This window comes from Homo sapiens, chromosome 2, assembly GCF_000001405.40.
Source record: "Homo sapiens chromosome 2, GRCh38.p14 Primary Assembly".
NCBI classification, from domain to species: domain Eukaryota; kingdom Metazoa; phylum Chordata; class Mammalia; order Primates; family Hominidae; genus Homo; species Homo sapiens.
The window spans coordinates 109,898,109-109,925,760 of record NC_000002.12 but is presented as its reverse complement, the minus strand read 5'-3'; the positions used below and the strand labels follow the sequence as shown (position 1 = coordinate 109,925,760).

At 41.8% G+C, this 27,652-nt stretch overlaps 1 protein-coding gene and 2 long non-coding RNA genes across 7 annotated transcripts in view; 1 reads left to right on the top strand and 2 right to left on the bottom strand.

Moving 5' to 3' along the window:
- LIMS3-LOC440895 (LIMS3-LOC440895 readthrough) overlaps positions 1 to 27,329 on the bottom strand; it is a 70,143-nt gene extending 42,814 nt beyond the window's left edge. The window contains exons 1-9 of the long non-coding RNA NR_027145.2: positions 26,851 to 27,329; positions 22,349 to 22,508; positions 11,284 to 11,350; positions 9,689 to 9,809; positions 9,105 to 9,254; positions 6,118 to 6,272; positions 5,415 to 5,507; positions 4,073 to 4,121; positions 1,338 to 1,413 (exon numbers count right to left, since the gene is read on the bottom strand). This is a non-coding gene — a long non-coding RNA (LIMS3-LOC440895 readthrough). The remainder of the gene's footprint in view (positions 1 to 1,337; positions 1,414 to 4,072; positions 4,122 to 5,414; positions 5,508 to 6,117; positions 6,273 to 9,104; positions 9,255 to 9,688; positions 9,810 to 11,283; positions 11,351 to 22,348; positions 22,509 to 26,850) is intronic.
- On the bottom strand, positions 136 to 27,073 carry LIMS3 (LIM zinc finger domain containing 3). Of its 3 annotated transcripts, NM_001394901.1 has the most exons (10): positions 26,851 to 27,073; positions 22,349 to 22,508; positions 11,284 to 11,350; positions 9,689 to 9,809; positions 9,105 to 9,254; positions 6,118 to 6,268; positions 5,415 to 5,507; positions 4,073 to 4,121; positions 1,338 to 1,413; positions 136 to 1,139 (listed from the first exon to the last, which is right to left on the bottom strand). In NM_001394901.1, the coding sequence occupies exons 1-10, from the start codon at positions 27,030 to 27,032 to the stop codon at positions 992 to 994; spliced, it is 1,197 nt and encodes a 398-aa protein (NP_001381830.1). In that variant the 5' UTR covers positions 27,033 to 27,073; the 3' UTR covers positions 136 to 991. The 3 variants fall into 3 exon arrangements, 2 of the variants coding, with proteins under 2 accessions (NP_001381830.1, NP_277049.1); NR_027467.3 differs by having other exon boundaries at positions 136 to 1,413; positions 6,118 to 6,272; NM_033514.5 differs by lacking the exons at positions 136 to 1,139; positions 1,338 to 1,413; positions 4,073 to 4,121; ... (3 more) ...; positions 9,689 to 9,809; positions 11,284 to 11,350 and adding an exon at positions 19,305 to 19,881.
- LOC105373547 (uncharacterized) lies at positions 3,055 to 6,901 on the top strand. Of its 3 annotated transcripts, XR_923178.2 has the most exons (4): positions 3,055 to 3,404; positions 4,609 to 4,786; positions 5,180 to 5,237; positions 6,864 to 6,901. It is a non-coding gene; the product is annotated as an uncharacterized LOC105373547 (long non-coding RNA). The 3 variants fall into 3 exon arrangements; XR_001739115.2 differs by having other exon boundaries at positions 4,609 to 5,237; XR_001739116.2 differs by lacking the exon at positions 6,864 to 6,901 and having other exon boundaries at positions 3,055 to 3,216; positions 3,321 to 3,404; positions 4,609 to 5,279.
- Positions 27,330 to 27,652: the final 323 nt, after the last annotated feature.

The window sequence follows — 27,652 nt, the reverse complement described above, 5'->3', positions numbered from 1 at the left end:
GGTTCAAAATTTGGCTTATCTATAGTAACCAGGTCATTTTATTCATTTACTTGTTTCTATTATATATTCATGAATACTTCAATTTTCATACGTATTTCATATATATACCATTCAAATTAAACAATATACAACAGGTTATTGTTAACAATTATAAACATTTATTAAGCACCAAGAATATACTGTGGTGGTTGCTATATGAAAACATAATTACCAATATAGTATCCCTACCATTGAGCTTACAATCTAAAACGAAATACAAGGCTATGAGCCTATCTAAAAACTTCCTTAACTTAGAAATGGCTACTTTGGCAAATGAGTGAGGCAAAATGACCTATTATTCAGATGCAGTGCTAATAAGGCTCTGAATATCATCCAAAGAATGTTTTACTCGTACCCATTGTTCCTGATTATGTTACACTTGCTAAGAAAAACAGTACTTAGAATTTTGGCATGAACAATGAATTATTTCAAATTGTCTTGTAGGACTTTAAACAAAGAGATGCTTACTGGCCTAAGTTTTCCAGCAGCCAGGGAAAGCCCTATTAAAAATATTATGAACTAGACCAAGTTTCTCTTTTAATCCACTTACACTTTTTTTTTTTTTTTTTTGAGACAGAGTCTTGCTCTGTCACCCAGGCTGGAGTGCAGCGGCGCGGTCTCGGCTCACTGCAAGCTCCGCCTCCTGGGTTCAAGCCATTCTCCTGCCTCAGCCTCCTGAGGAGCTGGGACTACAGGCGACCGCCACCACGCCTGGCTAATGTTTTTTTTGTATTTTTAGTAGAGATGGGGTTTCACCGTGTTAGCCAGGATAGTCTCGATCTCCTGACCTCGTGATCCGCTCCCCTTGGCCCAAATTTCTGATGACTACAAATACACGCCCAAAAGTTGCAGGGGGGGAAGAAAGCAAAAGACAGAAACAGAACAAAAACATATTCCAAAGGACTAACCAAAGGAGAAAGTAGTGAAAATGATGACACAGGGATAGAAAAGTTTACAAACAGACTGGCTTTTTCTTTTTCTGCTTGTCCTTATCCTTTGCTTCTCTCTCCCGTTTGGCAAGTCGCCTCTTAAATTCTTCTGGCATTTTCTCATAACAGTGTTTGCAGACTGGCTTTAGGTCAATTTCAACAAACTTATCCCTTTGAGTAGGACAAAGAAGGAATAGAAGAAAGAACAGGGAACAGTTAAAGGAAGAACCTTTACTTTCAGAAGGCCTGAACAGAAAGAGGAAATAAGAAATCAAATAATTCTCTTTTTCTAAATTCTAGGATTTTTTTTCAGTGTCCCCCCAAAGTTTTCAGTCTTAGGATTCACACTGGACAAAACCGTACACTTACTTGAGTGTTAATTTAGTGTTGCAGGTAGAACAGGCAAAGCAGTTCACGCACCAGGCCTTATTAAGAGCAGAGACCACTGGAGAAAGAGGAAAGAGATCTGGTCACATGGAAATACATCAGTATGGGGAGCAGGGCAGCTTAGAATTTCAACTCTAAAACAGAACTACGACTGTGTCTGTGGCACTTGGTGGAGGTTCTCAAGAACGTTTTTTTTAAAAAATGAGACAGGGTCTTGCTCTATAGCCCAGGCTGGAGTACAGTGGCACAATCTTGGCTCACTGTAGCCCCAACCTCCCAGGCTCAAGTGATCCTCCCACCTCAGCCTCCTGAGTAGCTGGGACTACAGTGCATGCCACTATACCTGGCTAATTTTTTTTTTTTTTTTTTTTTGAGACAGAGTCTCGCTCTGTTGCCAGGCTGGAGTGCAGTGGCGCAATCACAGCTCACTGCAACCTCCGCCTCCTGGGTTCAAGCGATTCTCCTGCCTCATTTTCCCAAGTAGCTGGGACTACAGGCGCGTGCCACCATGCCCAGCTAATTTTTGTATTTAGTAGAGACGAGATTTCACCATGTTGGCCAAGATGGTCTTGATCTCTTGACCTTGTGATCCGCCCGTCTTGGCCTCCCAAAGTGCTGGGATTACAAGTGTGAGCCACTGCGCCCAGCCTATACCTGGCTAATTTTTGTATTTTTTATAGAGACACGGTCTTGCCATGTTTCCCAGGCCGGACTTGAACTCCTGGGCTCAAGCAATCTGCCTGCCTCGGTCTCCCAAAATGCTGAGATTATAGGCATGAGCCACCATGCCCAGCCAAGAACCTCTTTCTTGAGAGCTTCTTTTCTTTTGTTTTTCAGACAGGGTCTCGCTCTGTTGTCCAGGCTGTATTGCAGTGGTGCGATCACAGCTCGAACTCCTGGGCTCAAGCAATCTTCTCATCTCATTCTCCTGTGTAGCTGGGACCATAGGTGTGTGCTACCACATCTGGCTAATTTTTAATTTTTATTTTGTAGAGATGGAGGTCTTGCTACGTTGCCCAGGCTGGTATCCAACTCCTGGCCTCAAGAAATTCTCCTGTCTCGGCCTCCTTAAGTGCTGGGATTACAGGTGTAAGCCACCACACCCGGCCCTCAACCTTTATGTATACAGTTGTTGCTCAATATGTGCAGGATACTATTTCTAGGATGCTGTGAGGATACCAAAATCTCAGACGCTCAAGTTCCTGATATAAAATGCATATAACCTATGTACATTGTCTTGTATACATTTATTTATTTATTTTTGAGACGAAGTTTTGCTCTTGTCGCCCAGGCTGGAGTGCAATGGTGTGATGTTGGCTCACAGCAACCTCTGCCTCCCGGGTTCAAGTGATTCTCCTGCCTCAGCCTCCCGAGTAGCTGGGATTATAGGCATGCACCACCACACCCAGCTAATTTTTTGTATTTTTAGTAGAGATGGGGTTTCACCATGTTGGCCAGACTGGTCTTGAACTCTTGACCTCAGTTGATCTGCCTGCCTCGGCCTCCCAAAGTGTTGGGATTACAGGTGTGAGCCACTGCGCCTGGTCCCATCTCGTATACTTTAGATCATCTCTAGGTTAATTATAATGCCTAGTACAATGTAAATGATATGTAAATAGTCATTATACTGTACTATTTGTATTGTTATATTGTTATTTTTCTCTAAATATTTTTGATCCATAGTTGGTTGAATCCACGGATGTTTGGATCCAGCCCCTGGATACGGAGGGCTGACTTTAATCTTCCCCCATCCTTAAGTATCCTGTGAAGTTATAAATGATGTGTGCCATGTCTTACACCAGCAACTGTGCCCCCTTGGCCTGGGCACATGTGGCAACTGTCCATGCATCATGTTGTTTAGGTGAGCTTGCTGTTTCTGTCCCTACTGCTGTTGGCCCAACTAGGAAATATGAACTAGGTAAATAATTTTCAAAAATCCAGACATTAACTTATTTGCCTCTGTAGGAGTCTTTTTTCCAGAGCTGATGATAACAAGACAGTTTCCTCTGCAGCTTCTTTCACCTGGCATCTATTTCACAGAGGAGGGAGGTAAGTTTTATTTTCAATGGCACTAAAGATTGTTTTCCTGGATTGTTTTCACAAACTGCACATGAACAGTTTCAAAAGTATTTCCTGAATTAGGTGATGTCTGCAGGCAGCCATGAATCATGCTGAAAACAGTATCGTTCAAAACTTTGCCAGGAAGTCTCTGGCAGAAGTGTGTTAGCGAGTCTTAGCAAACACAGCTGCTTCCTTTCTGTTCCAATCAATCAGCCCAGCCTAATTACCACAGTACAAGGGTGGTAAGTCCTAGATATGCTTGCTGATAACTGCCAGCTTTTAGCATGTGCAGGTTAAAGTGCCTCTTGCTAACTACGATAGCAGATTAAACTCTTCCTAATAAACGTTGTTCTAGAGCTTCCTGAAACTGGACACAGAAACAGGTCTTAGGGTCCACCAGGGACAGTTCCCATGATTGCTGGCATACAACACTACAGCAGTGGCCAAAAGTAGTGTCATAAATCAGTAACAAATCCAACTCTTTGATATTATCATCTTACTGCTACAGATTACTTGGAAAATACGCCAAAGATAGAGAAAAAGTAACTGATAACGATCACATTTCAAACCATAGCAATCACCAACCTGAATTTCCACATTCCCCAAGTGTTTTTGTGTCAAAGTGGCACCAATCTAAAACTCACACAGATACTTACCATCACCTTCTATAACACGATTGCAGTGGAAGCAAACATCACCAAATAGCTGAAAATAAAAAAAGGTGGTCAAAGTTCAAGATGTGTTAGAATTTTTAGAACACTGAACATTTAAAAATAGCTGGCTATCTAAATTGAGGATTTATCACTACTAGAGAAAATTAGTAAAAGTTCTTTGACAAGTTTTTACTTCTTACAATGAAAGTAATTCACTCTCATCAATTAAAAGAAAAACTTCCCGGATGACAGTTTGAACACCCAAATAAGTGATGCAAAATATAGAAATCTGTGAGTCCATATGGATAAGAAATAGATAAATGAATAAACCTATAGACGGGAGAGGAGGTGGGTTCTTGCTCAGGCAGAGCGCTGAGGACCAGACTATGGGTGGAGGGCATGGGGCTGGAGAAGTATTGTTTGCAGCTGGCGCAGAGACAAGAATCATCAAGGGGTGCTGAATCTAGGGCGGGTTGATGAGGAACAGGACATTTCCATGGTCATAGAATGATTGCCCACAGATTGCTTCTTTCTTACAGAGGAGGGAAGGAAATTGTAATTCACAGTGATGTTATCAGCCAGCACCATGCCTGGGAGATCACCAGTGCAGGAGAGGTATAAAATGCTCCAGGGGCAAGGTTCTGAGAAGATGCCCTGCCACTGTATGAGGCCACAACCTGCTGTGTATAACCTCATCTAAGCACAGAGAAGCACCAGGTGAACCCAAGTGGAAAGTAGTCTATTAAAAAGGGGTTAGGGGCCCTCTGCATCCCTCCAAAATGTCAATGTCATCAAAAATTTTAAAAGACTCTGGAAACGTTCCAGATTTAAGAAAGCTAAAGAAACATCACAGCCCTAGGCTGGGTCCAGTCTGGGAGTGGAAAAAATGCTGTGAGGATATTACTGACTCAAGTGATAAAACTGGAATAAATGGGTTAAAGTACGGTATCAATATTGATAACTACAATTATGTTAGAGAGTCCCATATTCTTGGGAAATATACACTGAAGTATTTAGGGGTAAAGGAGTATGATGAACTTATTGGCAAATGCTTTAGAAACAGCCATCGTACTTGTATATAATATTTATGTAAGTATGTGTTTTACACAGGAAGACTGAGCGTGGGAAATGATAAAGCAAACTGTGGACTTGAATGAAAGACATACAGGTATTCTTTGTATTTTTATAGTTAGCTTCTGAGTCTGAAATTATTTCCCAAATAAAAAGTTAAAAACAAATCTCTACTGAACAATGTACATCTTCCAAGAGATTTCCTTGTAGCTAAACTACTGATAAGCTTAGGTTCATAAAAGTCTATCTAGCATCCAGTGACTAAGGTCAATACCTGGTTATAGTGAGTTTCACAATACGCCAGGCCTTTCCTCTCATAATGGCGATGTCCAAGAAAGGGTTTCTCACACTTGGCACAAACAAAATGCTGAAAAAAAATTGCTATAGGTCATTTTTGAATTGCCATATTTTATATCTAATAAAGTAAACACCAGAGTTAACCTATTTTCAGAGAAGATGAAGGAAAGTTTGAGACAGTCATTTCATTTGGCCATAGGTGGCCCCATAACATAATACTTCTGCAGTTGTAATTCAGGTGTCTGTCTTTGAAGGTTACTTTAAGACACAGCCTATTATAATAGCCCAAAAAGAGAATAGAGGTGAGCATCTCAGTAGCACCTATAAAGGAGGAGCTGCTGCTGGATACAGACCATGGCACTTCCTGCTTCAAGAAGGCTTTAGGAGCAAAAGTGCACATCTTGTATCATTACTGAGACATTCACAAAAGCAGTGTACCTTCTATATTCTTAGCTGTCAGCAAAGTCAATTGTCTTTAAAATGTCCACGTTTAATCTTTAGAGTCTCCTAATCTTGCCAGGACACCTGAATCATGAAGATTTGAAAGTACTGGTTATCCCTGAATCATGGAGATTTGAAAGGATTGGTTACCCCTTAATCATGGAGATTTGAAAGTATTGGTTACTCCTTAATCATGGAGATTTGAAAGGATTGGTTACCCTTTACCATTTAGAACTCACCTCCACATGCCACTGCTTGCCCATGGCGTTCACCACACGCCCTTCGATGGGCCGTCGGCAAGCGCCACAGATGGGGACCCCCATTTTATCATGGCATGGCAGGCAGTATAGCTCCCCTTTCAGCTCCTGTGCATCGGCAGTCAGATCCTTCCTGTCTGTGAGAAAGACACCCAGCTTAATACTAAGAGAGAAAAATGGCCAACCGATGGGGCTAGCACACTTTTTAGAAGGTTTTTAAAGATATTACTATGACAATCCCTGCAAATTTCTTTTTTCCCCTTTAGAGGTGATCAGAATAACCTGAATTAATAGGCCCGAACAGGTTTCAGACTCCTACCAAAACATCTGTATCTTAAAAGGATAAGATGCAAGACTAGGTCAGATACATACCACCACACCAGTCATATTCATAATTTCCTTCTTGTATTATCACATTCCATTTTAGTCCATTTGTCTTCCTTTAAAAGCTACAGGGAATAATCACAGTGCTGAGGGTAGACTCAGTAATACTACCTGCTATGGTGTGACTGTGTCCCCAAAGTTCATGATCCCCAATGCAGAGGTGTTGAGAGGTAGGACCTCTAAGGGGTGATTACATCATGAAGGCTCTGCCCTCACAGATGGATTAACACTGTTACTGAGGGGGTGGGTTCCTTATAAAAGGATGAGTTCAGCCTCCTTCCTTCTCTTCCTTCCCCCCTCCTCTTCCCCCACCATGTGATGCCCTCTGCTATGTAATGATGCAGAAGAAGGTCCTCACCAGATGCCAGCCCCTTGATCTTGGACTTCCCAGCCTCCAGAACCATGAGCCAAATAAACTTCTGTTGGTTACAAATTACCCAGTTTGTGGTATTCTGTTACAGGCGCATAAAATAGACTAACACACGACCTTTCCAAGCAAACTGAGAAGTTGGGAGACTAGTTCCATTTACTAACAATTATTTAAATTGTCACAAGCTGTTGAAAAGAGTTATAGGTTAATAGGTTTATTTTCATAAACAACAAAATGCCCAGAATTTTCCTTCTCCAAATACTCAAATTAAATATTATTTTCAGTCTCCTGCATCAATAAACATTTGGTCAGAGATGGTCCCAATTAGTCAAATGGACTTGTTTGAATTTCATCCCTTTTATGTAATTCTCTAGGAGAGATGCTAATGAAAAGTGGACAGAGGTGAATCCCCAAGAGGAAGGACAGGCAAGAAAACGAGATAAGGCACAAACTGATAATTCAATCACAAAAGATGAGATGGCTGAACTTATACAACCAAACTGTTTTCTTTCTTTCTTTTTTTTTTTTTTTTTTTGAGACGAGTCTTGCTTTGCTGCCCAGGCTGGAGTGCAGTGGCGCGATCCACACTCACTGCAAGCTCCACCTCCCAGGTTCACGCCATTCTCCTGCCTCAGCCTCCCGAGTAGCTGGGACTACAGGCACCCACCACCACGCCTGGCTAATTTTTTTATTTTTAGTAGAGATGGGGTTTCACCATGTTAGCCAGGATGGTCTCGATCTCCTGACCTCATGATCCACCCGCCTCGGCCTCCCAAAGTGCTGGGATTACAGGCGTGTGCCACTGCACCTGGCCCAAACTGTTTTCTTAGCATTTGGCCTACTGTTTCTTCTCCATCCCTACTATAATTTACCAAGTAAGTTCACATTAACTATAGTAAAGAATATTTTTTTAATTTTTTTTTGAGACGGAGTCTCGCTCTGTCTCCCAGGCTGGAGTGCAGTGACGCGATCTCGGCTCACTGCAAGCTCCACCTCCCGGGTTCCTGCCATTCTCCTGCCTCAGCCTCCCAAGTAGCTGGGACTATAGGCGCCCGCCACCGTGCCCGGCTAATTTTTTTTGTATTTTTTAGTAGAGACGGGGTTTCACCGTGTTAGCCAGGATGGTCTCGATCTCCTGTCCTCGTGATTTGCCCGCCTCAGCCTCCCAAAGTGCTGGGATTACAGGCATGAGCCACTGCGCCCGGCCAAGAATCTTTATGCACTAAATTTTTATACTAGGTGGCAAACTGAGAAAAATTCATAGCCTAACAATTTATCATAACTTATTGAAGACAAAAAATTAAATATATTTCTTTTAGATATAAACCAAGCCAAATTAAATAAATATAACAACATCTTTTAAGATAATATCTAATTATTACAACTGTAAAAGTTATGCATGTACAGAGATAAGACCTTTTTTTGTTTTTAGATCTTCGACTGGAAAAACATAGTGATGACAAATATTTCTGGGGCTACTGGGAATATTTTTAATATGGACTGATAGTTGATATTATAAGATTATTGCTAATTTTCTTAGGCATAATAAGAGTATTGTGGTTCTGGCCAGGTGCAGTGGCTCATGCCTATAGTCCCAGCACTTTGGGAGGCCGAGATGAGTAGATTGCTTGAGCCCAGGAGTTTGAGACCAGCCTGGGCAACGCAGCAAGGCTCCATCTCTACAAAAAATTTAAAAAAATTAGGAAGGGTGGTGTGTGCCTGTGGTCTCAGCTACTCTGGAGGCTGAAGTGGGGGGACTGCTTGAGCCCAGGAGGGTGAGGCTGCAGTGAGCTATGATTGCCCACTGCACTTCAGCCTGGGCAATAGAGCGAGACCCTGTCTCAAGGAAAAAAAAAATTTACAAAATGTATCATGGTTCCATAGGAAAATGCCCTTATTCTCAGGAGATGCATACTGGGAGTCATGAGAAATTTTAGAGGTATGCGTATACAGGCACATGTGCACACATACATAGGAGGGTGAAACGAGAATGTGGACTGTATACACACAAGCATGGCAAAATGTCAACTGGTGAAATGAAATTAAGGGTATACAGGTTTCATTATATCATTCTCCTGACTCTTCTATAGGTTTAAAATTTTCTAGACTAAAAATGGGAGAAAAACAATTTGGTTTGCTAGAGTAACAGAAATATAGATAAATGTAATCTTTCATTCCCACTGCTTGTGTAATAAAAAAGAAACAATTCCAGTACCCGCAGTTGGCGCAGTTGAAATGGTCTGGATGGTAGGGGTCGTTCTTGAATATCAGAGGCTGCTCATCGATGATAGCATGGCATTTCTGGCAGATGTATTTCCCAAGGCCTCTGGCTTTCTCACGATTATGACAGGGGCGACACAGGTGTCTAAACAGAGTCAAAACTTAAATTTAAAATTTTAGGTTCTTTCTAATGGTTAAAAAGAAATATGCTTCCCTTATCTCTGAAAAGAAATTAAACAAACCATTTCTTAAAAAAATCACTCCTGTGCTTCACGGGGCAGAATCAAGCCACATGAAAAATGTGTTCCAACCCTAATATGACTGATTTTTAAGAAACTCCATCTAGGTACATCCCCCATTGGTAGTTCAGCCATGCATGGAGCAGTTATGCCCTGTGAACAGCAACACAAGGGTCCACTCCCAGCAGCAGCACTCAGTCAACACACTGCAGTGTCTGAGTTCCCATGCCCTCAATTCAGTGTCCTACAGAACTGCCTTACATCCCACATGGAGAATACACATGATCTTGTCACAGTCACATTGTCCACCCACATCTGACAAGGATGAAAATCCACCTACCTCCCAGCATTCTTGACAAACCCGATATCTGCCAGAACTTCCTGGCAGAGGTCACAGCGGAAGCACTCCGGATGCCAGCTGTTATTCATGGCTTTGATAACTCGGCCAATGATGAATTCACCTGTGGGAAAGCAACACACAAAGGATGTTACTAAGTAACATCCTAAGTAACAGGCATGGCACTTTATTTACTGAGAGAGCAATTAAGGAAAAACAGTGAGGAAAAAAACCGTTGAAGCCTTTCTCAATAGAGGAACTTTTTTTTTTTTTGGAGACAGTTTCGCTCTTGTTGTCCAGGCTGGAGTGCAATGGCACCATCTCGACTCACTGCAACCTCTGCCTCCCGGGTTCAAGCGATTCTCCTGCCTCAGCCTCCCAAGTAGCTGGGATTACAGGCACCTGCCACCACGCCCGGCTAATTTTGTATTTTCAGTAGAGATGGGGTTTCTCCATGTTGGTCAAATTCCCGACCTCAGGTGATCCGCCCGTCTTGGCCTCCCAAAGTGCTAGGATTATAGGCGTGAGCCACCACACGTGGCCAGTAGAAGAACTTTTTATTTATGTGTCTACCAGAGTAAGCACATTAGCAAAAAAGTTTTTATTTCATCCGAATTTTTGTTTTTGATTCAGCAGCCACATTTTTGGGCTGTTTTGTGTCATCTCTGAATCTAGCTTTCCTTTCCAAATGAGCTACTAGGCTCTCTTGAATGCCTTTTGGTTATTTCTGGTCATTGTCAACATAGACAACTGAAATCTACAGCACAGTTTCTTATAACCCATACTTAATTTATTCTTTCATTAAACCTTTAGAACATTCTACCCAGTTTCTTCAATCTCTGGAAACCTGGCAGAGGTATTAGCAACCAGTGAAGTGGCCAACGTGCAAGCAAGTCCATCACTTATGCGCCGTGCAAGCAATGTTTAAGCATCCCTAAGCTTCTGAAGCACCTCACTGATTTCTTCCCTGCCTCTTTCCGGGCAAAACCAAAAGCAAGTAGGTAAAGGTTGTGTTAACACAGGAAAAGAACACTCCCAAACACCACCCGATAGGAGTCCTAGTTCATCCCAAAATACCTCTACCTTAAATGTCCTTAAAAATCAATGAACTCTAGGTTTTGATACTCCTCCAGCTTGTTCTATGTTAACAATAGGGAAGAGGAGTGATGAAGTATCCAACAGTTATTCATAATGAGCACTAAAAACCATTTTTACCATCGATACTTCACCAGTGTGAAATGACTGAAGTAATGTGGAAACTTACTTTTTTTCCCCGCAAGATGGAGTTTGGCTGTTGCCCAGGCTGGAGTGAAGTGGTGCAATCTCAGCTCACTGCAACCTCTGCCCCCTGGGTTCAAGCGATTCTCCTGCCTCAGCCTCTTGAATAACTGGGATTACTGGCACCTGCCACCATGCCCAGTTAATTTTTGTATTTTTAGTAGAGACCGGGTTTCCCTACGTTGGCCAGGCTGGTCTCGAATTCCTGACCTCAGGTGATCCTCCTCCCTCCGCCTCCCAAAGTGCTAGGATTACAGGTGTGAGCCACCGCGCCTGGCCGGAAACTTACTTTTTACTTGACATTTAGCAGTAAAACTTACCACACTGATGACAGCAAGGGGCAAAGAGCATCTGAAAGTCATGTTCACAGTACTTTCTTCCTTCAAACTGAAAGAGAGGGTACCACCAACTTACAGACACGAAACAATCACAGGAGAAATATAATTATTTGATGAAGATATACAGGAAAGATGTTTCTAAACTAAGAGTTCTACTCTAAGAATTTATAACTCTACTGGGATTTTAAAAAGCAGATACTCTTTTGCACCATCCATACATCTACATGTTGGTACAGGAAAGACATACGGAATAAGTAGAGGCTAGAGTGAACAGTACACCTACAGGGACTGGTGACCTGGCCTCTGACTGTGCTGAATTGTTTTCTGGCTCAAATACCCTGCCTTTAATGAATCTGATGAAAGCTATGGATAACCTCTCCCTCCAGAAAATATGCACATACATACAACTCTCCTCCCACATTTTTCAGGTCGATATCTGTAATTCTCACTGTAACCTCAAATATTTACAAAGGGCAAATATTCTAGCACATTGTATTTTATTATTTTTTTAAATGGGAGTCTTGCTATGTTGCCTAGGCTAGTTCTTGGACTCCTGGCCCAAAGCAATCCTCCCACCTCAGTCTCTCAAAGCACTGGGACCACAGGCGTTAGCCAGTACGCTCAGCCTTAGCACATTTTAAAATGACCAAAATCCATTAAAAAACATTCTCTTAACAGCCAAGATTTTTACATCTTTCATTTCTTGAATGTTTTCATTTTATGTGCTCCAATTTTATCCTAGTATATTTTTGTACTTGTCTTTAACTGATCACCCTATCATACTTTTCTGCAATTAAAAAATATATATAACATGAAATTTTAAAATGTGCTTTCTGAATCCATAAGGCTGTAAAGGTTAACATTTATTTTCTTCTGTATTATCATTAGAATGATTAGTATAGGACAAGCAAGACATAAACATTAATTTTTTTATACTATCTGTTTACTTGAAAAGCATATCTTAGTGATAGTGAAATGAGTAGGGCTGCCCTTTCCTCCCACAATTATTTCATGTATCTCATGCATCAATATGGCTTTCCACTAGAAGACTCAGGTTCAATATTAATTCTAGGTCTATTTTCTATTTTGGGTGTTGCTTTTTTTTTTAATATAGAAATGCTAAGAAGCCCTTTTCACATTACTAACTTGTGAGAAATGTTATAGTAATGTCTCCCCTTGAGTCTTTGAGCTCCTTACAAGTTATATGCCAAAAGTCATACACTGTTTGATTATTAAAATCCATTTTTAATGATATCCATTTTTAATGTATCAGTTGTCAACTCAATTTCCTCAAATTATGGCTATAGATTTAGTGCATCCAATTTAGTGAACATATCTACCACAGCTTAACTGGCAAAGTCAGTTCTTACTGTTGAACCAACCAAAGCAGATTTTCTCCTAGAAAGATAACTTTTTTTTTTCCCAGTCCCGCTCTGTTGCCCAGTCTGGAGTGCAGTGGTACAATCTTGGCTCACTGTAACCTCTGCCTCTTGGGTTCAAGCAATTCTCCTGCCTCAGCCTCCTGAGTAGCTGGGATTACAAGCACCCGCCACCATGTCCAGCTAATTTTTGTATTTTTAGTAGAGATGGGGTTTCACCATGTTGGCCAGGCTGGTCTCGAACTCCTGACCTCAAGTGATCCTCCCACCTTTGGCCTCCCAAAGTGCTGGGATTACAGGTGTGAGCTACTATGTCCAGCTTTCACTTTTTAATTCAAATGAATAAGATGTAGTATATTTAATGTATCTTTTTGTTTTTAGACTAGGTCTTGCTATGTTGTTCAGGCTCGTCTTGAACACTTGGGCTCAAGTGGTCCTTCTACATCAGCCTCTTGAGTAGCTGGGATTACAGGCACACACTACCTTGTCCAGATTAATGTATTTGGTTTTTAAACAGAAAGAATAAATTGATATGCTATTACTCAATACTATGCCATACTACATTATAATGTGCAGCCAAAAGTACAAGTATTTATGAAGCGTGATATATTTCTGATGAATGTATGCCACCTATACGTATAAAAATCTGATATTTAGCTTTTAGCAGTAATTAATGGAACTACCATATGATCCAGCAATCTCACTACTGGGAATATATCCAAAGGAAATGGAATCAGTATGTGGAAGAGATATCTGCACTCTCATGTTTACTGCAGCACTATTCACAATAGCCAAGATTTGGAAGCAATCTAACTGTCCATCAGCGGATGAATGGATTAAAAAAATACGGTACATATACCCAGCAGAGTACTCTTTGGCCGTAAAAAAGAATGAGATCCTGTCATCTGTGGCGACATGGATGAACCTGTAGGACATTACATTAAGTGAAATAAGCACAGAAGGACAAATACTACATGATCTCACTCATATGTGGCATCTAAAGAGGTTGATTTCATAGAAATAGAGTAAAATAGAGGTTGCTGGAGGCTGGGGAGAATGGAGTGGAGGGGATGGGGAGAAGATGGTCAATGGGTACCAAGTTACAGTTAGGACGAATAAGTTCTAGTGTTCTATTGCACAGTAGAGTGACTTTGGTTAATAATATATTGCATTTCAAAATATTTCAAAATAGCTATTTCAAAATAGCTAGAAAAGGGGTATTTTGAATATTCTTACGACAAAGAAATTATAAATGTACAAGGTGATGGATACGTTAAATACCCTGATTTGATTTTTACACAATGTATACATGTATTGAAACATCACACTGTGCCCCATGTGTGTAATTATTATGTCAATTAGAAACAAAAAAACAAAATGACCACAAAACAGCCTTCTGTATCTGCTGGGTCTGCATCCTTGAATTTGATCAACCAAGGATAAAAAAAAATGTGGAAGAAAAAACCCCAAACAATAAAAAAAACCAATAGAAAAATAAAAATAATACAAATTTAAAAACACAGTATAACAACTATGTACATAGCATTTACATTTTATTAGCTATTGTAAGTAATCTAGAGATAATGAAAAATATACAGGAGGATGTGCATAGGTTATATGCAAGTAAGTATACCATTTTATATCAGGGACTTGAGCATTCAAAGATTTTGGTAAGCTCTGAGGGTGAGGTGGGAGTGGGGTGGAGGGGGTGTCCTGGAACCAATCCTCTGTGGATACCATAAGACGACTGTGTAAAAACTCATAAATAACTCCATTAATTTAGATAGAAATGATCAACTTTTATTCTGTATTAAATGAAAGAGAAAGATGTATATTGCATAAAAACACTAAAAAGTAGCCCAGTAGTATATATATATATATAATTTTTTTTAGAAGGTTGAAAATATAATCACTGTATACATAAAATAAAATTAGGATTAACTATAATTTGGAAACATCTTTTAACAAGACAAGTAGGAGTCAAGAACACTGACCATGGATCCAGACTGCCTGTGTTCAAAATCTGGCTGAAAGACTCATTGTGTGGTCTTGGGCAAGTTGCTTAACCTCTAGGGCCTCCCAAGAGTCAAAAAGCAATACTGCTTTGGTCTGTTTGTTCTAGCTCATGGCATACCCTCACTGTGACATTGTGAAATACATATTTGGTCTTCCTCCCAGTTTCTTGGCATACAGCTCCTAAAATCCTTGGAATCTTAAAAGTGATGTCTCTGTATATGTTAATGAGGTGCCTCCTGACTGGCAGCCCCTAGGTAGATTTAGGATGGGACTGGTTACCAGAAAGACCAAGGCAGAATCGGATGGTTGGGGTTTTCAGCCCCACCCTCCAGCCTTCAGGAAAGGCAGAGAGGAGCTGAAGGTTAAGTTGATCACCAGTGGCCAAGTGTTTAATTCATCATGCCTACATAATGAAGCCTCCGTAAAAATTTAAAAGGACAGGGTGCAGACAGCTTCTGGATAGCTGAACACAGTGTAGTTTCCCAGAGGGTGGTGCAGCCAGAGAAGGTGTGGAAGCTCTGAACACCTTCCCCTGTATACCTCACCCTACGTATCTCTTCAGCTGTATCCTTTGTAATATCCTTTTTAAAAATTTATTTTATTATTATTATTATTATTTTTTTTTTTCAGAAACGGTCTTGCCCTGTTTTTTCAGGCTGGAGTGCAGTGGCATGATTATAGCTCACTGTAGCCTCCAACTCCTAGGCTCAAATGATCTTCCCACCTCAGCCTCCCAAGTAGCTGGGACTGTGTGTGCCATCATGCCTGGCTAATTTTGTTATTTTTTGTAGAGACAGGATCTCACTATGTTGTCCAGGCTGCTCTTGAACTCCTGGCTTCAAGCAATCCTCCCACCTGAGTCTCTCAAAGTGCTAGGATTACAGGTGTGCTCTACCGTGCCTGGCTGGTAATATTGTTTAGAATAAACTGGTAGAGCCAGGCATGGTAGCATGTGCCTATAGTCCCAGCTACTGGGGAGGCTGAGGCAGGAAGACTGCCTGAGTCCACGAGATGGAGACTGCAGTGAACTGTGATTGTTCCACTGCACTCCAGTTTAGGTGACAGAGCTTGACTTTGTCTCAAAACAAACAAATAAACATAATACTAATAATAAACCAGTAAAAGTGTTTCCCTGAGCTCTGTGAGTTGCTCTAGCAAATTAATAGAACCAGAAGAGGAGGCTGTGGGATTCCCAATTTACAGAGCATGTCAGCCAGAAGGACAGGTGAAGCAATCTGGGGCTTTCAATTGGCATCAGAAGGAGAAGACAGTCCTGGCGCTGCCCCTCAATCTGTGGTCTCCAGGTAGATAGTGTGGGAATTGAATTGGAGAACGCCCAGCTGGTGTCCACTGCAGAACTGATTGCTTGCTTGGCGTGTGGTGAAAAGTTCCCACACGTTTGGTCACAGAAGAACTTGTGTTGATTGTTGTGGTGTGCAAGCAGAGGGAAAATGGTTTGTGTTTTCTATCCACCTCATTCACAATTTCTTACCAACGCTCTTTGCTTTGCTCTCCCAGAGCTTTCCCTTAAAATGGATAAATTCTTCTGAAATTAGTCAGGGGATGAAAAAGGCTAAGTCCTAAAAGGAAAGCTGTTGGCTGGGTGCAGTGGCTCATGCCTGTAATCTCAGCACTTTGGAAGGCCGAGGTGGGCAGATAATGAGATCAGGAGTTCGATACCAGCCTGACCAACATGGTGAAACCTGTCTCTACTAAAAATACAAAAATTAGCCAGACGTGGTGGCATGCGCCTGGATTCCTAGCTACTGAGGAGGCTGAGGCAGGAGAATCGCTTGAATCCAGGAGGCGGAGGTTGCAGTGAGCCAAGATCACACCACTGCACTCCAGCCTGGGTGACAGAGCGAAACTCTGTCTCAAAAAAAATAAATAAATAAAAAATAAAAATAAATTAAAAAGGAAAGCTGTTGTAACTACTGCCTACGTCTCTAAATTCAGCATATGCAGTCATCTGCCAGATAACATTTCTGTCAACAATGGACCATATATACTACCATGGTATATGGTATATTTACTGTACTTTTTCTGCTTGGATACTTTTAGATACACAATACTCACCATTGTGTTACAACTGCCTGCAGTATTCTGTATAGTAACATGCTGTACAGGTTTGTAGCCTAGGAGGGACAGGCCATACCATATAGACTAGATGTGTTGTAGGCTATGACATTTAGGTTTGTTAAATACATTCTCTGATGTTTGCACAACAATGATCTTGCCTAATGACACCTTTCTCAGACATTTCCCTGTGGTTAAGGGGCGTGCATATCTGTACCTGAATACAGAATATCCAACACAGTTCCTAAAGCCAAGCTTCTCCTTAACGAGAAAATACATAAGGCAGGGAAAGACTAAGCCTTATGGGTTTCAGCACTCCCTAACTAATCCTTTTTGATGGGTATCCTGGAGCAATTAATGATAGTAAGATTTGAGATTTCTTTCTTTTGCAATGTGAGAGAAGTACTATTGTGAATATAAATATGTTTTCAGGCAAAGAGAAAAGGATCCAGAAATTGAGTCCTTCAAAACCAGAATAGGAGGACTTAGAAATAGATTTCCTTGCCACCATTCATCCTGCAAATCTCTTGCACTCTGGGCTATGCTTCTCCAGTGTCACAACTATTGTTAATTCCAGGTGGAGAACTTCTGCTATAATGAGCTGCCTCTTTTCTACAGTGTGTAGAAATGATCAAACATAGTATAGCTCAACTTTTGAGCCTGAGAGAAAGGCCAGAAGTTGATCCAAAGTAAAACTACGATATAAAATTTTTTAAAAATCAAGAATCATAAATTGGGAAGAATTAAATTTCTATAAATATAGCCTTTCTAGGTAACTACACATTACATCCCCAAACTGATTTAAACAATGAATACGATAAGCCTGTTAGAAATATTAATGGTCCAAATTAGTAGTATTTATAAACAAAATGCCTTAAGAACCCTGGGGTCCCACCGCTTGTGGAAATGGGTTGCTTTGTGTGGGGGAAGATGAGCTCCAAGAATGGCTCTAACTGTTTTAAGTTTTGGAGTTCTGTAAATATTCCCTTTAGGGGAAGAAACAGTTATTCTGAGCTGCTTTCAAGTAAGCTCAGAACGGGAAACCAGCTGAAAGTCTCATTTCCAGTCAAGTGCAAAGTTGCAAATCTTCATTTGGTACTTTATACTGGTTTGTCATAAACTGCCTTGAAGTGAGTGGATCCACAGATAAACAGATGTGCTGGTTGGAAGGGTCTTCCATTTCAGTTTCTGCCTTCCTGAATAATCAGAGTAAATGAGTGAAGAAACCTCTTTGTAAAACATCTTGCTACAAGACTACTCATCATAAACGGGTCTTTCCTGGCCAGGCGTAGTGGCTCACTCCTGTAATCCCAGCACTTTAGGAGGACGAGGTGAGCGGATCACCTGAGGTCGGGAGTTTGAGACCAGCCTGACCAACATGGAGAAACCCCGTCTCTACTAAAAATACAAAATTAGCTGGGCATGGTGGTGCCTGCCTGTAATCCCAGCTACTTGGGAGCCTGAGGCAGGAGAAGCACTTGAGGCCGTGAGGCAGAGGTTGCAGTGAGCCAAGATCACGCATTTGCACTCCAGCCTGGGCAACAAGAGTGAAACTCTGTCTCAAAAAAAATAAAAATAAAAATAAAAAATTAAAAAAATGGGTCTTTCCTGTTAATGCATTTTGTGATGGGAAAAAAGGGACACATTTGTGAAATCCAAACTAAGGAGAGAGAAATGTGAAGCACCAACAAAGAACCCAGCCCTGAGCATGTACTAAGTCAGGGTTAATCAGCTGCACACCTGGTCCCTAGTCCTTGGTTCAGTCCATCCCACTCTGCAGTACTTCCTGGACTTAAATCACTCTTGTAACTGTTGGCTCCACCACTCCCAAAAGTATTTTCTTATGGGAAAAATTAAAATACTTCTTTTACTGGAGATAATGCTGGATGTCACAAAGATTTAGGAACCACTATAGTTAGCGTTAGGGCCTCTGGGTTGAAAGGGTATTTCCCTGGGGAAATGGCATCTAATCACTTGAGCTCAGGAGTTCGAGACCAGCCTGGGCAACAGGGCAAGACCCTGTTTCTGCAAAAAAAAATTTTTTAATTATCTGGCTGTGGTGGTGTGTGCCTGTAGTCCTAGCTACTAGGGAGGCTGAGGTGGGAGGATTGCTTGAGCCCAGGAAGTCAAGGCTGCAGTGAGCCATGATTGTGCCACTGCACTCCAGCCTGGGTAACACGGTAAGACCCTGTTTTAAGAAAAAGAAAAGAAAGAAAAAAAAAAGAGAAACTGTAGTTGAGACAGAAATACTGGTGCTCATTTCTTCAGATATATGTTCTGGTAAGTGGTTAGGAAACAAGGATCTCATTCTATACTTGCCTCTGTGGCCAAAGGGAAGAGAATGTCCTATTTAATTCAAAGTACCAGAAAGTTATACCATAAAAGTAAATCACATTTTCAAGGGGAAGCGAGTGCACAGACCCCACCTCTAAGTCTTCCTAACTAGTCTTCTAGAGAAAAGAAAAAATAGAGGCTGTGGAAATCAGGGAAGGAAGTTGTTGTGATAACGAGACAAAAGCAATAACAAAGATATAGAGTGGCGAAGATGCATTTATTATACAAAGACTGAAGCACATCAGTCATGTCCCAAATGGAAGGCAAACTGGGTAAGTTTCCAAGCTTTCTTTTCTGGAGAACAACTTATTGCTGGATATAATTGAAAGTGAAGATTATTTGTTAGCAGCCTTGGATAGTTTTTTTTTTCTCTAATATCATTTAACCAAAAAGAAATGTCTTATTCTCCAGATGCAGGTTTACACATCCCTGGGCTGGTTTTAATGATAAACAATGTAGCCAAAATAGTAATCTTCCTCAGGACCCAATAGAGCTTGAACTGGGCAACAGCCCATGAATAGCCTAGTTCTGGGTATTCATCGCATCTTTTGGAATAACAGCACACAGACCCAGGGAGGGTATTTATAGTCCAGTGTGAGGGGTGGGCAGGACGAGATGAGTCATGCTTTATTCTTCGCTGCTCAAGGCTGTTCTGAGCTTTTCCCTCTGACTCAGCACCAGTGGCCTCACAGCTGACAGGGCCTAAATGCGGCAGCAGGAGCTCAGGAAGCGGTCATGCTGCTTAATGAAGGTAGCTTAACCATCACGTTCGTTCCTAAGTCACAGGCAAAATGGGAGAAAGAAGGTGACGGAGGGCTGGAGCTCCAGGGTGCTCACAGGGGAAAGAGCAAGCCAGGGATATAAGGAAAATGTTTGGGAAAACAAAGCCTGTCTTTTTCTCTGAGTTCTTCTCTATTGCTCCCCTGGACCGAGCTCTCCTAAGGCCTTTGTCATAATCACCCATTTCAATAAAAATATCTTATATTTAAAAAGAATATGTAAGGGAAAGAATATTGTATTGGATACTAGGAGACCAGCTAGGTTCTCATCTCTTTCATGTCGCAAACCTGCTATGTTATCAGACATTTCAACCTCTCTGGACTACAGGAGAAAAAAAAAAGAAGGGAGGGATACAGAAGGAATTCATATAGTGAGAAGACCATGCTCTCTCCAAGCCAGCTTTCCAGAATTCCCTTCAATGTGCCTTGGGAGTCTCACCTCCTTCCTTGCCATAGTCCCACCAGGCCTCCACGGTGCCGAGGTAGAAGCAGGTCCTCAGGTCCCTTTAACTGAATTGAGTCATGGCTCACCACCACTACCACCAGCAAATGCCCTCTCTTCTTGCTGCCGCAGCACCTAGGGATTTCCTATTCCTTCTCCTCACCAGCTAATCACAGTCTACCTATAGCCTCGGTAGGGGGTCTCTATGCCTGATGCCTCCATTCACACCTCTGGAGCTCCTCTCCTGCCCTCTTCTGCTGTGGTACATTGGCCTCTCCTGCTCCTGTCCATCTTCACAACTGTCATTTGCCCATCCCTAAATCCATCATCCTTGTCCAAAAGATTCCCACTGCCCAGGGAAGGAGTCAGGAAGAACAGGAAGAACTGTAAGAAGATACATAGAGCATGTTTGGAGGCCTAAAGAAATAAACTTAAAAAAAAAAAAAAAAGAACGAGAAGAAAAGAGAAAACGAAAACCTCTTTCCACTGCTAAGGTTTTTGTTGTTGGGAATGTGTGTTTTGGGGACACAATAGGAGCTTAAAAAAATGTGTGCTAGTGAATAAAATAGCATTCCTTAACCCAAACCCTTAAAGCTGTTTCCAAGTTGACATTATTACATACTTGCTAGCCCTGTATTTCATGTACCCATGATGGGGTAAACAGCTTTTCTGTGGGCTGGCCTGGGAACCCCACTCTCATGTTTGTTTCTATGGGAAAATGCTGCCGGAGTGGCATACAATGGACTTACCAATGATCTTTGTCAACTACCTTTCCTTGCTCAAGCATGGTTTATATAACAGGGAAACATAAAAATCTGCTAGGCAAAAGAAGAAATCAAAGAGCAGCCATCTCCAGCTATAAAATAATTCTATATACATATATTATCATATATAGATGTGCATTTACGTACAAATATGTAAGAAGTAAGGTGGTAAAAGTAAATTACCTATTTGATCTAACACACACATACACCTCACTCTCACCGTCATTTATAGCCTGGGGTCAGCATCTCTAGATTATCCCCCAAAATACATGTTTACTGTGAGACAGGAGTTTCAGTGGGCCAGACATGGAGGTTCATGCGTGTAATCCTAGCACTTTGGGAGGCCGAGGATCACCTGAGCCCAGGAGTTTGAGACCAGCCTGGGCAACATAGGGAGACTCCGTTTCTATGAAAAATAAAATTAGTCGGGCATGGTGGCACGTGCCTGTAGCCCCAGCTACTCAGGAGGCTGAGGCTGGAGGATCACTTGAGCTTAGCAGTTCAAGGCTGCAATGAGCTATAATCATGCCACTACACTCTAGCCTGGGCTATACAATGAGACTTTGTCTCAAACAAAACAAAACAATAAAAAACAACAAGAAAGTGGTTTCGGTAATGTTGAGAATACCAAATACACTACAAAGGAAGTGCAGACCATATGCTAACACCCGAGGATCAAGAAAAACAAATATTTAGAAAAGAACATAGACACCCAGGAGAGCTAAATGTAGACAGTATAGTTCCCTAAAATACTTATTTTTTTTTCCCTTAGAAAATAAATGCATGGACGCTCCTGGCTCGAGGCTGGGAAGTTGTGGAGGGGGTGACGTACACCGCACGCTCTCCTTTAGAGCAGGTCCAGTGGTCCTCTGAGAAGGGGGAAAGACACAGAGACAGGAGTGGGTGAGGTGTGTGGGGGGCCTGAGTGTGGCTGAAGACTCGGAAAGAATTTTCTATGTGGAGCTGAGCTGCTTAGGTCTGAAAGGCTCTGTCATAAGGGACTCTGGGTTCTGAAATAGGACGATGAACTGAGCAATACAAATGCAGGGTCTGTGAGGGTGTCCCAATCACGCCACTGCCCATATGGGCCATAGAGATGCCACCTCTGACCTCACAGCTATCAAATACCTGGCATGCATGTGGCACTTCAGTCTTTCATCATGAAACTGAACATGAAGGAGGAGTCCTCAGGAAAGAAGGGCAGGAAGCGGGAGGGTGGGGAATGGCACCTCCCTGCTTTTGTCCAGTGCAACTCACCTCATAGAAGAGTCCTTCTGGGAACTGCTGGAAGCACTGAGCGCACACGAAACACTGCTCATGGTACAGCTCCCCATTACTGTTCACGATCGTCTCAGCGGGCGCAAAGCCGCCCTTGCAGCGCTCGCAAGTGGCGCTGGCCAGGGCGTTGGCCATGTTGCTGTAACACGCAAAGAACAGCAGGTTGCAGACCGTCAGCCACTTCTTAGATCGAAGATCAAACAACACTAAGAACCGAGCAGCAAATTCTATCTGATCACAAAAACCCTATTTTATCTAAAAAGCTCAATTTCTTGCTTGTTCCTTACATGCTCTGAACTCGGACACTTCAGCCTCTTTACCGTAGCATCTGAGGCTCTGTAAGGGTGTCCCACTTTGATTCTGTTTCTAACATTTTTGGCATTCTTCTTGCTGAATATACTATGAGTGAGTGCCTACTATGTGTTAGGCACCTGAGACAGAGATGAAAGTTACAAGCTGCTCTCAAGGAATTGGGTTTATAGCTTAATAAGTAGCTTAATTAAAATATCCAAAAGTCAACATCTCAAGGCCAGTTTCTTTCCCTTCTGAGAACAGAATCTAAAATGCATGTCAACTAAATGCCATGTCATATAACCTAGACACGGGTTATCCCTTTGATTAAATCCCGTAGAAAACAACTGCTTAAGTAGCCTTAAAACCAGCCAAGATGCCCCAGTCCTGTTACCTAATCGGTAAGACGAACCTGATTACCAATATTATAAAATGTATCTTAAAATCACAGAATTTTACATAATAAAGATCATTTTACAGATGGCAAAACAGGTTCACAGAGATGGAAGGATCAGACCAACATCACAAGGCTAATTAGTTAAAGGAAGGTGCAGGACTAGAAATCCAGGTCCCCTGCTCATAAAATCACACTGTCAATCAAAACAGATTACACCACGAATTTCAAACACTTGAAAGGACATGACAGGGATACCACCACGTTTCATAGGTTAGGAAAGTGACACCAAGTTGTCAAGTAACCACTGCTGCGGCTGGTGACGTGGGAAATTCCCCCATCGGTAGCCTCACTACACCTTAAAACACAGAAGGCATTCAATAAATAATCTCAGGCTCTAACCACTGTGCAGTTTGGAAGAAGGAAAGCAACATGGCAGATGGCTGCAGTGGCTCACGCCTGTAATCCCAGGACTTTGGGAGGCTGAGGACAGTGGATTACTTGAGGTCAGGAGTTCGAGACCAGCCTGACCAACATGGTAAAACCTCGTCTCTAGTAAAAATTCAAAATTAGCCGGGTGTGGTGGCACATGCCTGTAGTCCCAGCTACTTGGGAGGCTGAGGCAGGAGAATCACTTGAACCTGGGAGGCGGAGGTTGCAGTGAGCCAAGATCTCGCCACTGCACTCCAGCCTGGACAACAAGAACAAAACTCCATTTCAAAAAAGAAAAAGGAAAAGAAAAGCAACATGGCTTTGACAGGCATACAATTAGATGAGGATTTCACGTGAAGACCTATTTATTTCTTAAAAGTCCTAGAAATGGAGAAGGTCCCCCATGCCAAGCGGTCCTTCAATTTTTGGCAAGTTTATTTTCACAGGCCTACCCACAGCATGAGCTCTACACCTGTGTGTCTAGTTCCCTGGTACAGCTTCTGACCTTCCAGATATTTAATCAATGTACTTCATGAAGTTATTACCAATGTTCTCCTGAATTTTCACAACCAACTAGTGAGACAGACAGGTAGACAGTCTCCATTCTATAAACAGAGTAACTAACTGCCTTGCCCCTATTGGTTTCCAAGTTTTGCTGTTTCCTTAGCAAAAGTGGTTCCACTTACTTGCTTCACTCCCCTCCACACCTCTGGAAGACAACTTTCCCTTTGCCTTTCTCCCCAAAATGTTTCACAAAACAGTCATCCTGTTTTGTAGCCTTGCCATAAATAACTGCGTGCAGACACACCATGTTCATCACTTCAGACCAGTCAAAGCTCAACTTTATTTAACAGGTTTGAATGCAGAATTAAAATGTCACAAAAAAAAGGAAGGAAGGGAGAAAGGGAAGCACCTTCACTGCTCAGTAAACCTGGCCCAAGCCTCATGTTAAAATGAATTTCCATTTTGTCATTTCAAAGTTACTGTAGGTTGGGGAAAAAATCTGTAAAATTCTCATCATCGCCCAGCTTTGCCGTAAGCCAGATGATTGTGGCAGTTTTACAAAACTCTGGAGGGGTTTGTGCTTCTTCCCTCTTTCTGACCAAAGTCCACAGGTATTCCTGGATGAAGGAGCACGGTAAGCTCCACATCTGCCTGGTCATTCTCAGTGCTGTTCTCATTATTGTTCTGAGGAAAAAGTATTTTAAGCTATTTGGAAACCGTAAGATGCTGCTCAAATATATGGCTCTGTTGTTAATTCTAAACCCTCTCAAAAGATTCACCAAACCTCAACAATCTTAATGGGACTCTAAAAAAGCCCAAAAAGAATATTCTAGAATGTCCTGGATCATTATCACCTAAATCAGTCGTTTTCAAAATGTCAGCGTCACCATGACCCTTTCAGGAGGCAGAAAAGTCCTCTTTTCCAACTACATCTCTGTGGGAGGCCATGTTTTCTTCATATATTTCATCTAAAACAATAGACTGTAATAGGTTGAATGCAGAAACAAATCTGAGAAACTTTTATTAACAAGATTTGCAAAAATGTAACGCAATGCCATCCTTTCCTCTAAGCCTCTTCCATTTTGGAAAACAGTTATTTTTCATGACAACATTAATATTAACATTTACTATTATTAACACGTAATAAGCTTAGTGTTGTTTTTAAATGAATTAATAAGTATTTTAAATTGTTCCCAGTTTCAATTTCTCATATGGTAAATACTGATAAATGAAAGTCCTTTGGGAACCTTAATAGTTTTTAAGAGTGTTAAGAGGCCCTTAGATTAAAACGTTTGATTATCACTGACCAGTTTAAACTCATTATAATATAGATTGTTTCTACTTAAGTTCAAATACTCAAGTAGAATTAGGAAATAGGTAGATACATCATAAAAACAAGCACACAGTTACTTCCCACACACAGGAAAAATCCGCTAGTTTTAGAGGTAATATAATATATATTTTGCAAGAAGTATTCCTTTTCATCACAAGCAGGGGGAAAAAGGAAACAGAACAATCACCTTGCTGCCCCCTGAACCAGTCAGGCTTCCCTTTCCTCTTTTGCCTTTGACCCTCTGGCACAATGCCTGTTGTTGTTTTTTTTTTAAATGTTGATTTTATATTTAATACTACAGATGACAGAAATTACTTTAAAAAAGTCATTAGTGACAGTTATAGCTACCATCAGATTAGTTATAATTAATTAGCTAATTTTTTAGAAAAAGATTTTCACTAAAAAGTGTTGATGACAAGAAATATGTAAGTGGGGGAGTATCTATCTATCTATCTATCTATCTATCTATCTATAGATAGATATTTATATGTAAAAGTCAGGCCAGGCATGACTGATGAAGCTGATCCACTTCCACAAATCAACCTCACACAGCACAACTGATATCTTGCTTTCCATTATTCAAGTATGCAAAACAAATTGTTTGGTCCTAAAATGCAGCAATGTATAAATCCAAAAATCTTCTTGAGAGTTCACCAAGCAGTCAAAATATTGGTTACTGTATTATTACAATTCCCCAGTTACTGTCAAACAGAGCTCTCTGTGAGTTGTGAAGATAAGTGACATCTGTACCACAGAGCACGGATTATGGAAGTAGAGAACCGGGTCAGTTAAATTCTCATTAACTCTTACTTGACAAATTTGGGATACGCAGTAATTCTAAGCTCACAACTTTGAATGAGGTCAATAATCTTGAGCTGGTCTGATGGCTACTCTGCATTTTCTTAAAAAAATGTGTTTGCTAAAACCTATTTAATAATATAAATTAGCCTAGCTTTTTAGAGTTAACAGTATGTTCTATATGTGTATTGAGCTGCTACTTATACGATATATATATTTATTCATTCAATTAAGAAACCCAGTTAGCTTACTTCAAATTGTTGATTATTACACAAAACAAAAATATTTATCTTTACCAACAGTCTGTAATTTGTTTTTTTCACTGTCCCAACCCATCTGCCCCTTATCTTTGGGCCGTTTTAGACTGCAGAATTTTTCTAACGTAATTACTGACAATGACAACACTAAGCCTCCCTTGCGGACGACATGATGAAAATGCAGTTAGTTACCAAGTGATCAGGAACCTACTGAAGACGGGGCCGCCATGCTCTCACAGTGAGGGCAGCACCTCCCTCCCATCTGCGTGTCGCTGCATGTCTTACCGACAAGGCAGTCTCCTGTCTCCCTAAACATGCTGCGCTGCGAGCCCCTCGGAGCCCTACCACCCTGGAAAACTCCCACCCAAAGTCCAGTCAATAAAATTGTATGGGCCAGCTCAGGATGGCTCCTGAACAGACAGCCAAGAACGCTGGACCTGGAAGAGGGCACTCCAGGAGAGGAGACACTCACAATTTCGCATAAAAGTCACAGAACTCCTTGTAGACTTTCACGTCACTGTGCCTGCGCTGCAGTTTGGAAACAGCCCTCTCGTCCTCGGTCCCATTGGCCTCGTGGACAGTGTTAAGGGCTGCTCGGGGGATTTCTTCGTTCTCTGGGATAATGCAGGGGCGCGCTCGGCCTGAGAAGGCCATCGTGGGTGCTTGAGAGCTCTGAGCACAGGGATGAGAATGGCAGGACACAGAGCCAGGAGAAACAATATCCAGGCCTCCCTGCTTCCCAGCCAGGGTCACTCCCACTGTTCCCACGCACGTCAGCCTGGCCCGCCAGGGTCACTGCTGCTGCTTCATGTTAAGAGCTCAGCAGCACAGTACACAGTTACATGGCAGTCAGGATTTACTGAGGCATTCTGGAAGTTCTAAAATAACATTCCACAAAGTAGTGACACAGTCTTTGTCAGAGCGGCAGTCCCAGTGGACTATGCTATAAACACTGCACCAGGAGACCGGGGCTACCTTGTAAGCCTCCAAGAGAAAGAAATATCCACACGTGCCTTGCATATTTGCCACAAGACTTCATCAACAATGCCGTGCTTTTCACTCTGGAGGGCATAAGAGGCTTTTGGAGACCTTGTAAAACATCCCCCTGACAAGCTCTCCCTGAGGCTGAGGCTGCTGGCACACTCTGAGGAGCATTTGAACCCTGCCTGGACCTGGGCTTCCACAACCCTGGCCATGACTGCCAGCTATGCCTGATGGGTCCCTTCCCCAGGAGGCCATGAGCCCCTAAAACTAAGAGCTACGTTTGACTTCTA